Source organism: Homo sapiens, chromosome 19 (assembly GCF_000001405.40).
Source record: "Homo sapiens chromosome 19, GRCh38.p14 Primary Assembly".
Classification (NCBI taxonomy): Eukaryota; Metazoa; Chordata; class Mammalia; order Primates; family Hominidae; genus Homo; species Homo sapiens.
In genome coordinates, this window is record NC_000019.10 from 13441958 (window position 1) to 13455884 (window position 13927).

The 13927-nt window shown below is 44.6% G+C and overlaps 1 protein-coding gene across 5 annotated transcripts in view; it reads right to left on the reverse strand.

Moving 5' to 3' along the window:
* CACNA1A (calcium voltage-gated channel subunit alpha1 A) overlaps positions 1-13927 on the reverse strand; it is a 300038-nt gene that overhangs the window by 235516 nt on the left and 50595 nt on the right. For all 5 annotated transcript variants that reach the window (NM_001127222.2, NM_001127221.2, NM_001174080.2 and 2 more), the window contains exons 2-3: positions 13150-13255; positions 10919-11058 (exon numbers count right to left, since the gene is read on the reverse strand). In NM_001127222.2, coding sequence (NP_001120694.1) covers positions 10919-11058; positions 13150-13255 — 246 coding nt within the window. The remainder of the gene's footprint in view (positions 1-10918; positions 11059-13149; positions 13256-13927) is intronic.

Sequence of the window (13927 nt, forward strand, 5' to 3'; positions counted from 1 at the left end):
TGGAACAAGGTCACCTGGCCATCTGGCCTTTACTCAGTCCCTCTCCACCCCAGCTGGAGGCAGAGGGAGGGAAGAGAACATTTTAGCACAATACGGTGTGCTGGGAGCTGTCCAGGGTGCTGAAACCTGTAACCCGCTAAGCTTCCAACTTCCGCTCCTTGAGTTAGCGCCGAGTAGACCCCAAGGCAAAAACTAGGGTCCAATGGTTAATTTGGGAGGTAATGCAAGGAATTACAAGTGAGGAATGAGGAAGAGAGAGATTGGTAAAGGGTACACTAGTGAATGGGTTTTATGTGAACAACTAGGATTCAATTTTACTGAGGCACCTCTATGATGCTGTATAACATATTTCAGTGTTTTCCCACTGAGCAATGGGGAAGCCAGGGTATTTATACACTGACTCCCTAGCTCACTGGTTGAGGGATGCTACCGAGGTTGTTAAGCATCTGGCTCAGCAAACTCTGTGATGCCAGAGACTGCCCTCCAACAGAGATGTAGAGAGATGGGAGTGTACCAAGAGGAAGCTGCAGGTGAACTTAGACGTAAGCTAGGTAAATAAGGCATGGAGAATTTGTAGCATCTATCACATGCTCCCCCACAAGAATTTAAGTTTTTTTCCTTCAGTTCACCAACTTTCGTGTGTGATGCAAACCCTAGGAGCTAGGCACTAGTTTTACTCCCTTTTTCCAGGTGAGAAAACTGAGGTTCAGTGAGTTCAACCCACATTCTCACTGTCATAGAGGGAGGAGCTTCCTCTGACTCTGAAGTCCAGGTCTTAACCATGGCGCTAGGCCAATCTCTCATTTCTTGAAATCTCTTCTGCTCCTGTTTTCCCCCAGCCATAGTGGAACCCAAGATCAGGGAGGGGAAGGAAGGATCACCCTGACTTCCCATGTCAGAGAGCTCTATTCAAATTCTCAAGTTTATTTTCCTTGGCAAACTTGACCTTAGAGAAATAGCGTAGGATTCAAGAAAATGGGTTCTAGATCCAGATCTGCCTTAGTTCAAATCCTGGGTCCACCACTTATGAGACAGATGCTCTGGCTTGAATATTTCAAACCTTCCAAAACTCATGTTGAAATTTGTTTTATTTATTTTATATTATTATTTATTGACACGGGGTCTCACCCTGTCACCCAGCCTGGAGTGCAATAGTGTGTGTGCATTATAGCTCATGCAGCCTTGATCTTAAACTTTCCAGTCTCCATAACTGTAAGAAATAAATTGCTTTTTCTTTATAAATTACTCAGTTTCAGGTGTTCTGCTATAAGCAACAGAAAACAGACTAAGACAGTAAGCATTTAATGTCTTTGAGCCTCAGTTGCTCCATCTGTAAATGGGAATAATAATAGTATTTATTTAACCTTGAGAGTTGAAATAATTTTATTTTTATTTTTATTTTTAGAGACAGTCTTGCTCTGTCACCCAGGCTGGAGTGCAGTGGTGTGATCATAGTTCACTGCAGCCTCAAATTCCTGGGCTCAAGCAATCCTCCTGCCTCAGCCTCCTCATTAGCTGGGACTATAGGCATGTACCAACATACCTGGCCAACTGAAAAAATAAACTTTTTACAGAGACAGGATCTTGCTATGCTGCTCAGGCTGGTCTCGAACTCCTGGGCTCAAGTGATCCTCCTGACTTGGCCTCCTAAAGTGCTGAGATTATAGGTGGGTGCCTATGTATGTATATAATATATAGTATATCATATTGTAAGCACCTCATAAGTTTCAGCTTATCAATGTTGCCACTGTTGTTAATAACAGGCATTACATTCCTAAGGACACTGGGTTGAATACAGCTCTTTGCTGAACTTAACACAGGCCCAGTATTATTCTAGGTTTAGAGAAGTGTCCTAGCAGAGAGGCTGAGATCCTGATCCACCCCTTACCAGCTGTGTGACTCCCTTGTGAGCAGCTTAACCTCTCTGAGCCTCAGATTCATCTGTACAAAGGCTAGCGAGGCTCAATGTGATAATACACATAAAACTCTTAATGTAGTCCCTGGCACATAGTAAGTACTCAATAAATGATAAGAATAACGACCATGGCAGCTAACATCATTATTATCACTGTCACTGCTGGTGTTGTTAGAAGATGGAAGAAAATAGCTCCTGCTGCTAGGAAGTGATGTGGTTCCTGGTGAAACATGGTCCAGCAAATATCATGACAACCAAAAGCTTTGAACAATAAAAAGATCGATGCTCTCTCAATGGTATAACTCACTGAGAATGACAAAAAGCATTTGTGTCACAGTGGGGAATCCTTTTGGTACCAAGGATGACTGATCCATGGAGGGGAGAAACTACTGCAGAGAGACATTAAAATAAAATGCTGCTGGTATTTATAGGAACTGTTGCTGGTCTCATGAGTTAGAATGCTGGTTGTGTTTTGTTGTTGTTGTTGGAATGCTGTTTACATGTGAAGGCAACTAAGAGCAGGTGCATGGGGCAGGGGTGAAGAAAGAAAGGAGGTAAGAAGCAACTACATGTATTTATTCAATTAATCAAAAAGGAGAGAGGACATGAGAGGTGTATGGTCAAGACACTGACCCCTCTGAGACTTGGTTTCCTCAACTATATAATAAAAAGCGAGGAACTGGGATTATTCTCTGAGGATCCCTTTCTTATTCTCTGGAAAGAGGCCATAGGCTAGTCAGGGGGCAAGAGGAAGGAAGAGAGAGCTGGGCTCTAGTGGCAGAACCTGAGGGGTGATATTAAACATTTATACCACTTCCATTGCCCAAAAAGCCAGGGTTCCTGGCTCCATGACTTGAAGACACCTTCTTATTCTAGATCTCTTGCCACCATCTCTGTGTGACTTTGGACAAACCACTTGTTTGTGAGTAAAACAGAAGGGCTGGACCTGCCAGAATCCATGGAGCCTTAAAATCCAATGATGCGGCCCGGTGCGGTGGCTCACGCTTGTAATCTCAGCACTTTGGGAGACAGAGGTGGGCGGACCACCTGAGGGCAGGACTTGGAGACTAGCCTGACCAACATGGAGAAACCTCGTCTCTACTAAACATACAAAAAAATTACCCGGGCTTGGTGGTACATGCCTGTAATCCCAGCTACTCAGAAGGCTGAGGCAGGAGAATCACTTGAACCTGGGAGGCGGAGGTTGCAGTGAGCCGAGATCATGCCATTGCACTCTAGCCTGGGCAACAAGAGAAAAACTCCGTCTCAAAAAAAAAAAAAAAAATTCAATGATGCTTCAAGACCAAAAAACAACATCTTTCCCTGATGGTTCCTGTGTAGTTGTGTCTTTTCCTTGCCTCTGATCTTCAACAAAATGGCCCAAAGCCTGAGACAGTTTATAGACCCTTCTAAAAAGGAACCTTCCGTTTCATAGAGTCATAAAATGTCAGAGCTGGCAAAGACCCAGAGCTTCTCTGTCTTATATCTCATCTGATGTTCAGGGCATCTGCCATAGACTTCTGGACTATCTGACTATTTCTATCAGTGTGTTGGTCCCATCTTCTAAACAGCTTAGTAAATTTCCCAGGACACTCATTATCAGAAGTGTTACCCTTTTCCGGCTTAACAACCATTTATTTTACTGAGCATTTATTATGTGAAAGGGACAGTGCTAACCCTGTGAATAAAAAAGAAAAAAAATTGTGCTCACCCCTCTCTGGTGAGGTTCACAGTCTCTTTTCTTAACATGCACGATTTGTGTTATTTGATCTCTTCAATATTTATATATATTTGAGAATGACAGTAAAAGAACTGTCATCTCAGACATACAGCCAAGCTTCTGAAATCTTCCTCTTACACATTTTCAGTTTCATGATCAGAACACAAATACAATAAAAACATGCCTTACAAGGGTTTGACAACATTATAAAGTTAGGATTTCTCTGAGGCTCTGAGTTACAAAGAACAAACAGATGTCCGGGGTAAGATCTTTTCCACCAAACTTCACCCAAGAAGAAGGTAAACACCGTGGTGGTCCACACAAAATGAATCACGTTTTAACGCTGTGGTTTGCTTCAGGAATCTGAGAGGGCAACAGGTTAATCAGAAAGTACTCATTAGGCCGGGCACGGTGGCTCATGCCTGTAATCCCAGCACTTTGGGAGGCCGAGGTGGGCAGATCACCTGAGGTCCGGAGTTCGAGACCAGTCTGGCTGATAGTGTGAAACCCCGTCTCTACTAAAAATACAAAAATTAGCCAGGCACAGCAGTGCATGCCTGTAGTCCCAGCTACTCAGGAGGCTGAGGCAGGAGAACTGCTGGAACCCAGGAGGTGGAGGCTACAGTGAGCCAAAATCCCACCACTGCACTCTGTCCCGAAAAAAAAAAAAAAAAAAAGGAAAGAAAGTACTCATTAAAGTCATCACTGTCTCAATGTCAAATTAATATATTTGAGTCCCCTCCTCTCTGAAACATAGAATTAAGTGTCTACTGTGTTTCTCTACCATTGACATTGGCAGAAGGCTAGGTCTGCATGATGTGTGTGTGTGTGCGCGCGTGTTTTTTCTTTCTTTTTTTTTTTTTTTTTGAGACAGAGTCTCACTCTGTCATCCAGGATGGAGTGCAGTGGCACAATCTCAGCTCACTGCAACCTCTGCCTCCTGGATTCAAGTGATTCTGCTGCCTCAGCCTCCCAAATAACTGGGATTACCAGTGCACACCACACCACCATGCCAGGCTTTTTTTTTTTTTTTTTTGTATTTTTAGTACAGATGGGGTTTCACCACGTTGGCCAGGCTGGTCTGGAACTCCTGACTTCAAGCGATCTGCCCGCCTCTGCCTCCCAAAGTGCTGGGATTACAGGTATGAGCCACAGAGCCCAGCTGGGATTTTTTTTTTTTTTAAGACAAAATCTCACTTTGTTGCCCAGGCTGGCCTTAAACCCTTGGGCTCAGGGAATCCTCCCACCTCAGCTTCCAGTAGCTGGAATTCCAGGTGCTTGCCCGCTGCACCCAGCTCATGCAGAATGTTTTACTTTCCCCTCCCTGTTCCTAGCTTACAACCCAACAGGACACTAAACAGCACCTTGGAATTTGGAGTAATAAAATTTGAGCAATGTGCCTCATTTGAAGGAGATAGAACCACCAGACAAAAAGGATAACTGACTACCAGAGAAATAAGAGCAAGAAAAGCAAGTGAAAGAAATGCATGGAGAATTCAACAAGAAAGGAGAAGGGGATGTGAAAGGAACCCAATCTAGAATAGAAGGTCTTCATGATAGGATCAGGATTCCCTGAGAATCTAATAAAAACTACAGACCAGAAAAAAAAATATACATATACACAATTTTCTTCTTGCATAAAATTTCAGTGGGTTCATTCATCCCAACGATGAGCTCTCACCCTTAGGACCTATCTGTTCTAGATGAAGTATTTCTCCTCTAGAGGAATGAGTCTAGAATCTCTTCCATCAGATGACAGGAAACTAGAAGAAAGGCCACCTTGTTGTAAGCAGGGAGATACAAACACAAGTGACAAACTGACCTACTGAATGACTGCCTTCAGTTTAATGATCACTTATTGGGACCCACTAGGTGTCTGTATTAGTCAAGGTTCTTCAGAGGGACAAAACTAACAGGATAGATGTATATATGAAAGGGAGTTTATAAGGAGAATTGACTCACACAATCACAAGGTAAAGTCCCACGATAGCCCATCTGAAGGATGAAGAGCAAGGAAGCCAGTGGTGGATCCGTCAGAGTCCTCAAACCTCAAAAGTAGGGAAGCTGACAGTGCAGCCTTCAGTCTGTGGCCAAAGGCCTGAGAGCTCCTGGCTAACCATTGGTGTAAGTCCATGAGTCCAAAAGCTGAAGAACTTGGAATCTGATTTTAGAGGGCAGGAAGCATTCAGCACAGGACAAAGATGAAGGCCAGAAGACTCAGCAAGTCTACTCTTTCCAACTTCTTCTGCCTGCTTTTATTCTGGCCACACTGGCAGCTGATTAGATGGTGCCCACACAGATTGGGGGTGAGTCTGCCTCTCCTAGTTCACCGGCTCAAATGTTAATCTCCTTTGGCAACACCCTCACAGACACACCCAGGAACAAGACTTTGCATCCTTCAAGCTGATCAAGTTGATGCTCAATATTAACCATCACACTGCTCAATAATATATGAGCTTCCCTAAGTGTTCCCATAACCGTGTTATTATGAAAAAAAAAAAAAAACAGGGCTGCAAAAGCCCATCAATGATAGACTGGATAAAGAAAATGTGGTACATATACACCATGGAATACTATGCAGCCAAGAAAAAGAACAAGATCATGTCCTTTGCAGGAACACGGACGGAGCTGGAGGCCATTATCCTTAGCAAACTAATGCAGAAACAGAAAACCAAATACTGCGTGTTCTAAGTGGGGGCTAAATGATGATAACACATGGACATACAGAGGTGAACAACACGCACTGGGGCCTTTTGGAGGGTGGAGGGCGGGAGGAGGAAGATGATCAAGAAAAATAACTAATGGGTACTAGGCTTAATACGTGGGTGATGAAATAACCTGTACAACAAACCCCCAAGACACAAGTTTACCCATGTAATAGATCTGCACTTGTACCCCTAAACTTAAAATAAAAGTAAAACAAAAAAAACCACACAGGGATTTTTAAGGCTCCTTCCTGCCAGCAAGGTCAAGCCAGCCTCAGCCAGCAGAAGCCAGCCCCCAGGGAGCATGAATTGGCACAACCACTTTGCAGAGCAATTTGGCAATACCTAGTGGGGCTGAGGATGCACACAGTATACAACTCAGCAGTTCCACTCCTGGGTACGTGCCCTAGAGAAACTCACTTGGGAGAAAGCAGGGACACTTTGGGTCAAAATAGCCCAAAGCTGGAAACAATCCAAATAGATAAATACACGGCAGCATACTCCTACCACAGAATACTATGCAGTCATGAAAATGGATGCATGGAAACTATTTTTATTAATCAGATTTATCTCATGTTGAACACAAAAGTCAGGTTAGAGAAATGTGAAGTTTGAAAAACAGTACCACATATCTCTTTTTTTCTTTCTCTTTTCTTTTTTTTATTTTTTATTTTATTTTATTTTTTTGAGACAAGGTCTTACTTTGTTGCCCAGCCTGGAGTGCAGTGGTGCAATCACGGATCACTGCAGCCTCGACCTCCTGGGCTCACGTGATCCTCCCACCTCAGCCTCCTGAGTAGCTGGGACTACAGGCGTGCGTCATCATGCCTGGCTAATTTTTTGCATTTTTTTTATAGATGGGGTTTCACCATGTTGCCCAGGCTGGTCTTAAACTCCTGGACTCAAGCAGTCTTCCTGCCCTGGCCTCTCAAAGTGCTAGGCTTACAAGTGTGAGCCATCACACCTGGCCTTTATTAAAAAAACAAAAAAACAAAAAACAACAACAACAACAAAAAACATTTTTTAGGGACAGGGTCTTGCTCTGTTGCCCAAGCTGGAGTGCAGTCATAGCTCACTACAGCGTCGACCTTATGGGCTTAAGTGATCCTCCCGCCTTGGCCTCCTGAGTAGCTGGGACCACAGGAGCACACCACCATGCCCAGCTGAATATTTTATTACATTTTATTTCATTTTGTAGAGACAGGGTTTCACTACATTGGCCAGGCTGGTCTCAAACTTCTGGCCTAAAGTAATCCTTCCATCTTTGCCTCCAAAATTGCTAGGATTACAGGTGTGAGCCACCATTCCCAGCCCACATATTTCTTATCTATGCATGTAGTCAAAGTGTAAACTATTCTCACTCTGATGCTATTTAAAAAATATTTTGAAGTGTAAAAATAGGTAGCATATATTTCTTATATACTTAGGCAGCCAAAGTGTGAATACATAAATGCAAATAATAAACATAAAATTCAGGAAAGTGCCCCTGGATGGGGGAGAGAAAGGAATGGGTCTAGGGAGGGAGAAAACAGGGATTAGAAAGGTTAGAAAGGTTTTGTTTTGCTGGGCACAGTGGCTTACGCCTGTAATCCCAGCACTTTGGGAGGCCATGCCAGGTGGATCACTTGAGGTCAGGAGTTCAAGACCAGCCTGGCCAACATGGCGTAAACCCGTCTCTACTAAAAATACAAAAATTAGCTAGATGTTGTGGTACACGCCTGTAATCCAAGCTACTTGGGAGGCTGAGGCAGGAGAATCACTTGAAACTGGGAGGCAGAGGCTGCAGTGAGCTGAGATTGTACCACTGCACTCCAGCCTGGGTGACAGAGGGAGACTCTTGTCAAAAAAAAAAAAAAAAAAAAAAAGAGAAAGGTTGTGTTTTGATAGCAGGTTACTCCATTACTTCTCTATCCCCAATTCTCCCCATTCTTCTGGTCACCTTCTCTAGCCATGTGGGTCTTCTTACTGTTGATCAAACATGTCAGATACAGTCCAGCCTCAGAGCCTTTGCACTGGCTGTTCCCTTTGCCTGACACTCTGTTCCAGCTCTCCTCATGGCTCACTCACTCACCTCCCTTAGGTTTTCATTCAGATGTCACATGCCCAGTGAAGTCTTCCCTGGCTTCCAGCACCCCTCACCCCTGCCTGCCACACATCCCATCCCTCCCCTGCTTTATTTTTCCTCTGTACCCCTCACCGCCATCTGACACACTAGATTCATTCATCAATTGTGTCCATCTCCATCAGTAGACTCTCAGCTCCATGAGGACAGGGGATTTTTCTATTTTGTTTACTGCTGTGTCCCAGAGCCTAGAACAGGACCTGGCACACAGAAGTGTTCAATAAATAGTCATTGAATAAATGAATGTATACACAGGTGTTTGCTCTATTATTCTCTACTTAGTTTTGCATGGGATCTTGCTAGGTTACCCAAGCTGGTCTCAAACTAGTTAGGCTCAAGCAATCCTCTCTCTCCAGCCTCCTGAGTAATTGGGGTTACAGGCATGTGCCACTGTACCCAGCTTTATACACTTTTAATTTTTATTTTGTGGAGATGTGGTCTTGCTATGTTGCTCAGGCTCGTCTCAAACTCCTGGGCCCAAGCAATCCTCCCACCTTGGCCTCCCAATGTGCTGGGATACAGGCATGAGCCACCCTGCCCAGCTTTACATTTTTTAAACAATAAAAAAGTTAGCCACTAGGCTGTTTCTAGATGAGTTTCCTAGTAGACTAAGAGAAAAGTGCCCAGTACCATAATATGCCCTTGGAACCCACCAAGGTCCCAAGCCACCGAACTGTGAGCACAGCCAACAAAGATCCCTCTGTGAACACCCAAGCCCATGAGAGCTAGCCCAGAGTCCTTACAACAGACTGCTGACATCTGAAGGCCTCTACAGAAACAGCCCAATAGGCCACAGCTCCTTCTGTGAGAGGCAACATTGCTCTGAAACAAATCTGCATTGTGAGAGCCCGGCCAGCACAGTGTGGGTGCTGCAACCCATCACATCCGCCAAGAGAGACAGAACCTGGAGCAGCAACAAAACATGGAAAGCTATGATCCTGTAAATGATTACTATGAAAAAGGTGTCCAGTGAAGAAGGGTCTTAGAATAGAAGAGCCCAGACTTAGCTGAGAGGAGAGTAGAGAGTGGGAAGAGGAGGAACCAGCCATTGGTACCAGATACTAATGTCCCTACTGGAATCTAATAAAAGTTTTTAAGGTCCCTGACAGACTAGTAGGTCATTCTCCAAATCCATTTCCCTTTTCTTCTAAGCACAATCTGATACTTCCCAGCTTCCCTTGCAGTGATGTGTGGTCATGTGACCGAGTTCTAGCCAATAGGATATGAATGGAACAGGTATGGGTCACACCCCTTCCAAACTCATAAACCTTTCCAAGTATCACCTTCTATGCTCACTTCTCCTTCCTGGTTTGATACAGACAAGCATGGAGTTATTGGATGATGTGGGCTGACAATGAAGAGCCACAATATGGCAAGGGTCAGGGTCCGTCAGTCATTGGAGGAGATGAGCCTGTCAACTAGGAACAATTATTTTGGACTTTTTTTTTTCGAGATGGGGTCTTGCTCTGTTGCCCAGGCTGGAGCACGGTTGGATGATCATAGCTCACTGTGCCCTCCAACTCCTGAGCTCAAGCAATTCTCCCAGGCATGTACCACCATGCCTGGTTAATTTTTATTTTATTTTATGTTTTACAGATGGGGGGGTGGTCTCACTGTGTTGCCCAAGCTGGTCTTGAACTCCTGAGCTCAAGTGATCCTCCCACCTCAGCCTCCCAAAGTGCTGAGATTACAGGCATGCACCACCACACCCAGCTCAATTTTGAATTTTCTATGAGTGACAAATAAACTTCTGCCGTGTTTAAGTCATTTCCTAGCTTTGGATCTTTTGTTATACCAGCAAGTGCTACCTCATACAGGGTGCTTAGAGGAAAGCATATACACATTTCAACCACAGTTCATCATATATGGATCTGAAAACTCCTTGAAGACAGTAACTGTACCTTATTTAGCTTGCTTTTCTCCTTTGTCATAATCACAATCCCTTGCACCCAGACATTCTCAAAAAACATTCACCAAGTTGAAATAAAAGCAAGATATCCTCAAGCAAATCAAGAGACCCATGCACGTACAACACTTAAAACCTTGAGTTCTGGAATGCATAATCTTCTGTTCATCTCCCAGTTCCATCACTTACTTGCTGGGTGGCCTTAAGCAAGTTACACTCTGAGTTTCTGATTCCTCAGTGGTCAGATGGGAATATTAATATTTCCTAATTCAGTGGGTTGTTGCAAGGATTAAATTAGAGAATGGGCATAAAGCACTCTGGAAGCAGCCAACAATAATGAGCTATTATTTTAATTGTAACAGAAAGCATCTGCTGTAATATACAGCTGAGACATGGAGGTGGGGTGTTGGCAGAAAGGAGGCAGGCGCATAACAAGGGGAGGGAGAACACAAGGGCTCAGCCTTCCTGAGCCTGGCCCGGACCACACCAACCAAAAGCCTCGTAATCCTTCAGCTAGTTAAATCCAAAGCGTATAGCACGCGCCACTTACCCCGTTAGCACCACCACAAAGTCCATGACATTCCAGCCATTCCTCAAGTAGGAGCCTTTGTGGAAGGCAAACCCAAGGGCAATGATTTTAATTCCAGCCTCGAAACAAAAAATTCCAATGAAGTATGGTTCTGTGTCATCCTGGAAGGGAGAGAAGGCAAGGTCAGCGTCTTGGGCTGGGCAGATGTTGACAAGATCAGGGAACCAGCCCACCTAGAAATCAGTACCTATCACCCTCTCACTTCCCCTGACCCTCCTGCACTCACCACCCCTCACTGCCTCTTGCAGAGTTCTCTTGTCCAAAGCCTTTTGCGAGCAAAGCCAATGCCTAGAGAAGGCACCTTCCTCCTTCATTCCTTTTGGGCCAACCTCACATATCACTCAGCTAAACAGAATTATTTGTTTGCACCTGTCTTATTCAATACGACAGTCACAGGCCACATGTGGCTATTTCAATTAAAATTAATTTAAATGCAATAAAATAAAAAACACAGTTCTGCAGTCACACTGGCTACATTTCAAGTGACAATCCTATTGGACAGGGCAGATGGAGATCATTTCTGTGACTGCAGAAAGTTCTAATGGAAAGCATTGGTTTAGAGAATTTACTTGTCACATGCAGCGTTCAAGGTATTTGAGGCTAGAGCTTGTGCATTGACCTCACTCCTAAATCTGACCCCTTAGGATGGTTCTCAGCTGGCATGTAGATTGTTAAAGGTTTGGAATAGGACTTCTGTACTGGCTGATAAGTGGCCAGTATCCTCACCTCCAGTTCCTCTGCAGAACCTCCGGCTGGTTCTGGCTTCCAGCTGCTAATCTATCATATTTGAAATTAAGCTACAAGCTCTTCTCCATCAGAGCCCCAATGTGAATGTTTTCCCATCTGTTACAGCAACGTTTCTCGAGCTACAATCATTTTCACTCTGCCTGAATGATTTTTTTTTTCCACATTAGCTTGCCACTGGTACTTCTACTTGCTTACCAGTCTTTCAATGGACGCTTTTTATTTAGCTTTATTTTAAGTGAAAATGCAAAGATCTAGAAATCATAGGTTTGCTAGGCTAGTTATAGTTTTTAGAAGACTGTGACATTGTGAAATGTATGTTTGGTCTTTGACACTGTTTCCTGGTGTACAGCTCCTAAAACCCTTGGGATCTCCAAAGGGATGTCTTTTTGCAGGCTAAGGATTGACTGATGGCTGGCAGCTTCTAGGTAGCTTCAGGATGGGGGTTGGTCACCGGGAAAACCAAGGCATGATTAGAGGTTTGGATTTAAATCATTGACCGTTGGTGATCAACTTGATTTTCAGCCCCTCTGCCCTCCCAGAGGTTGGGGGGTGGGGCTGAAAGTCGCAACCCTCGAATCATGCCTTGGTCTTTCTGGTGACCAGTCCCCCTCCTGAAGCTACCTAGAAGCTGCCAGCCACACCCTTCTCCTATATCTCACCCTTTGCATCTCTTCATCTGTATCCTTTGTAATATTCTTGTTTCTTTTTTTTCGCCTCCCCCCCACCAAGATGGAGTTTCACTCCTGTTGCCCAGACTGGAGTGCAATGGTGCGATCTTGGCTTACTGCAACCTCTGCCTCCCGGGTTCAAGCGATTCTCCTGCCTCAGCCTCCCAAGTAGCTGGGATTACAGGTGTGCACCACCATATCCAGCTAATTTTGTATTTTTTTAGTAGAGACGGGCTTTCACCATGTTGGTCAGGATGGTCTCGAACTCTTGACCTCAAGTGATCTACCTGCCTTGGCCTCCCAAACTGCTGGGATTACAGGCATGAGCTACAGTGTCTGGCCAAGACATAATTATTAACATTAACAATGTTCATTTGAGTATACTGCCTGAAATTATGTCAGATGCCAAAGTGGGCAGTTTGAGACCAGCCTAAGCAACCTAGTGAGATCCCCATCTCTACAAAAAAAGATAAAAATAAGAAAATTAACTGGGCATGGTGGCACCTGTAGTCCCTGCTACTCAGGAGGCTGCAGTGGGAGGATGGCTTGAGCCCAGGAGGTGGAGGCTGCAGTGAGCTATGACTGAACCACTGCACTCCAGCCTGGGTGACAGAGCGAGACTCTGGTTCAAGAAAAAATGAAAAGGAAATTTAGGCTTCCCATGATCTGGCTCTGGGCTCCAGGACTGAGAGCCTCCTCTGTGCCCTGCTCCACTCCCCCAAAAATTAATGTCCTGCTAAAGCCAAGGAGAAGACCCTGAGAAAAGACATCACTCACCAGCCGTTCAGACATCGGGGTCTTGTCATCATCAGGCAGATGCTGCTCCAGTGCGAGGACGATGCAATTCGCTATGATGGTGGCTAAAATCATATATTCAAAGGGAGTATTGGGGAATTAAGGAAAAATCTTGTTCAAAGAAAAGAAGGGTGTTGGAGGTGCACCCACCCCCACTGACCCCAGTGGAAAGATCTCAAGCCCTCTAGATCCTTCCAACTCATCAGCACAGGTGGAATTATTCGTTCTCCTGTCTGGAGTAGATCCCTGCAGATCTCAAACCCAGATCAGGTGACTTCTAAAGGGAAATGTGGATATTCACCTTCTATCTCACCCACAATATTCACTGAACACATATTCATTCAGTACCTGCTGTGTGCCAGACTCTGTTCTGGGCTAGGGACACAGTTGAGAGCAAAGCAGACAAGAGGAGAAGCTTCCTCCTGCTTCCCAGAGGAGAAGCAAATAAATGAGATGACTACATCATGTATACTATGCTATACAGTACACTGCATATACCATGTTATACAGTACATCATATATGCTATGTTATGTAGTAAGATGGTGAAGACTATAGACAGTGGAAGGGGTCAGGGCTGCAATTTCAAATATGGTGGCAGGGCCAGCATGATGGCAGGCACCTGTGGTCCCAGGTACTTGGGAGGCTGAGGCGAGAGAATTGCTTGAGCCGAGGAGGTAGAGGCTGCAGTGTACAATGACTATACCACTGCACTCCAGCCTGGGTGACAGAAGGAGGCCCTGTCTCAAAAAAAAAAAAAAA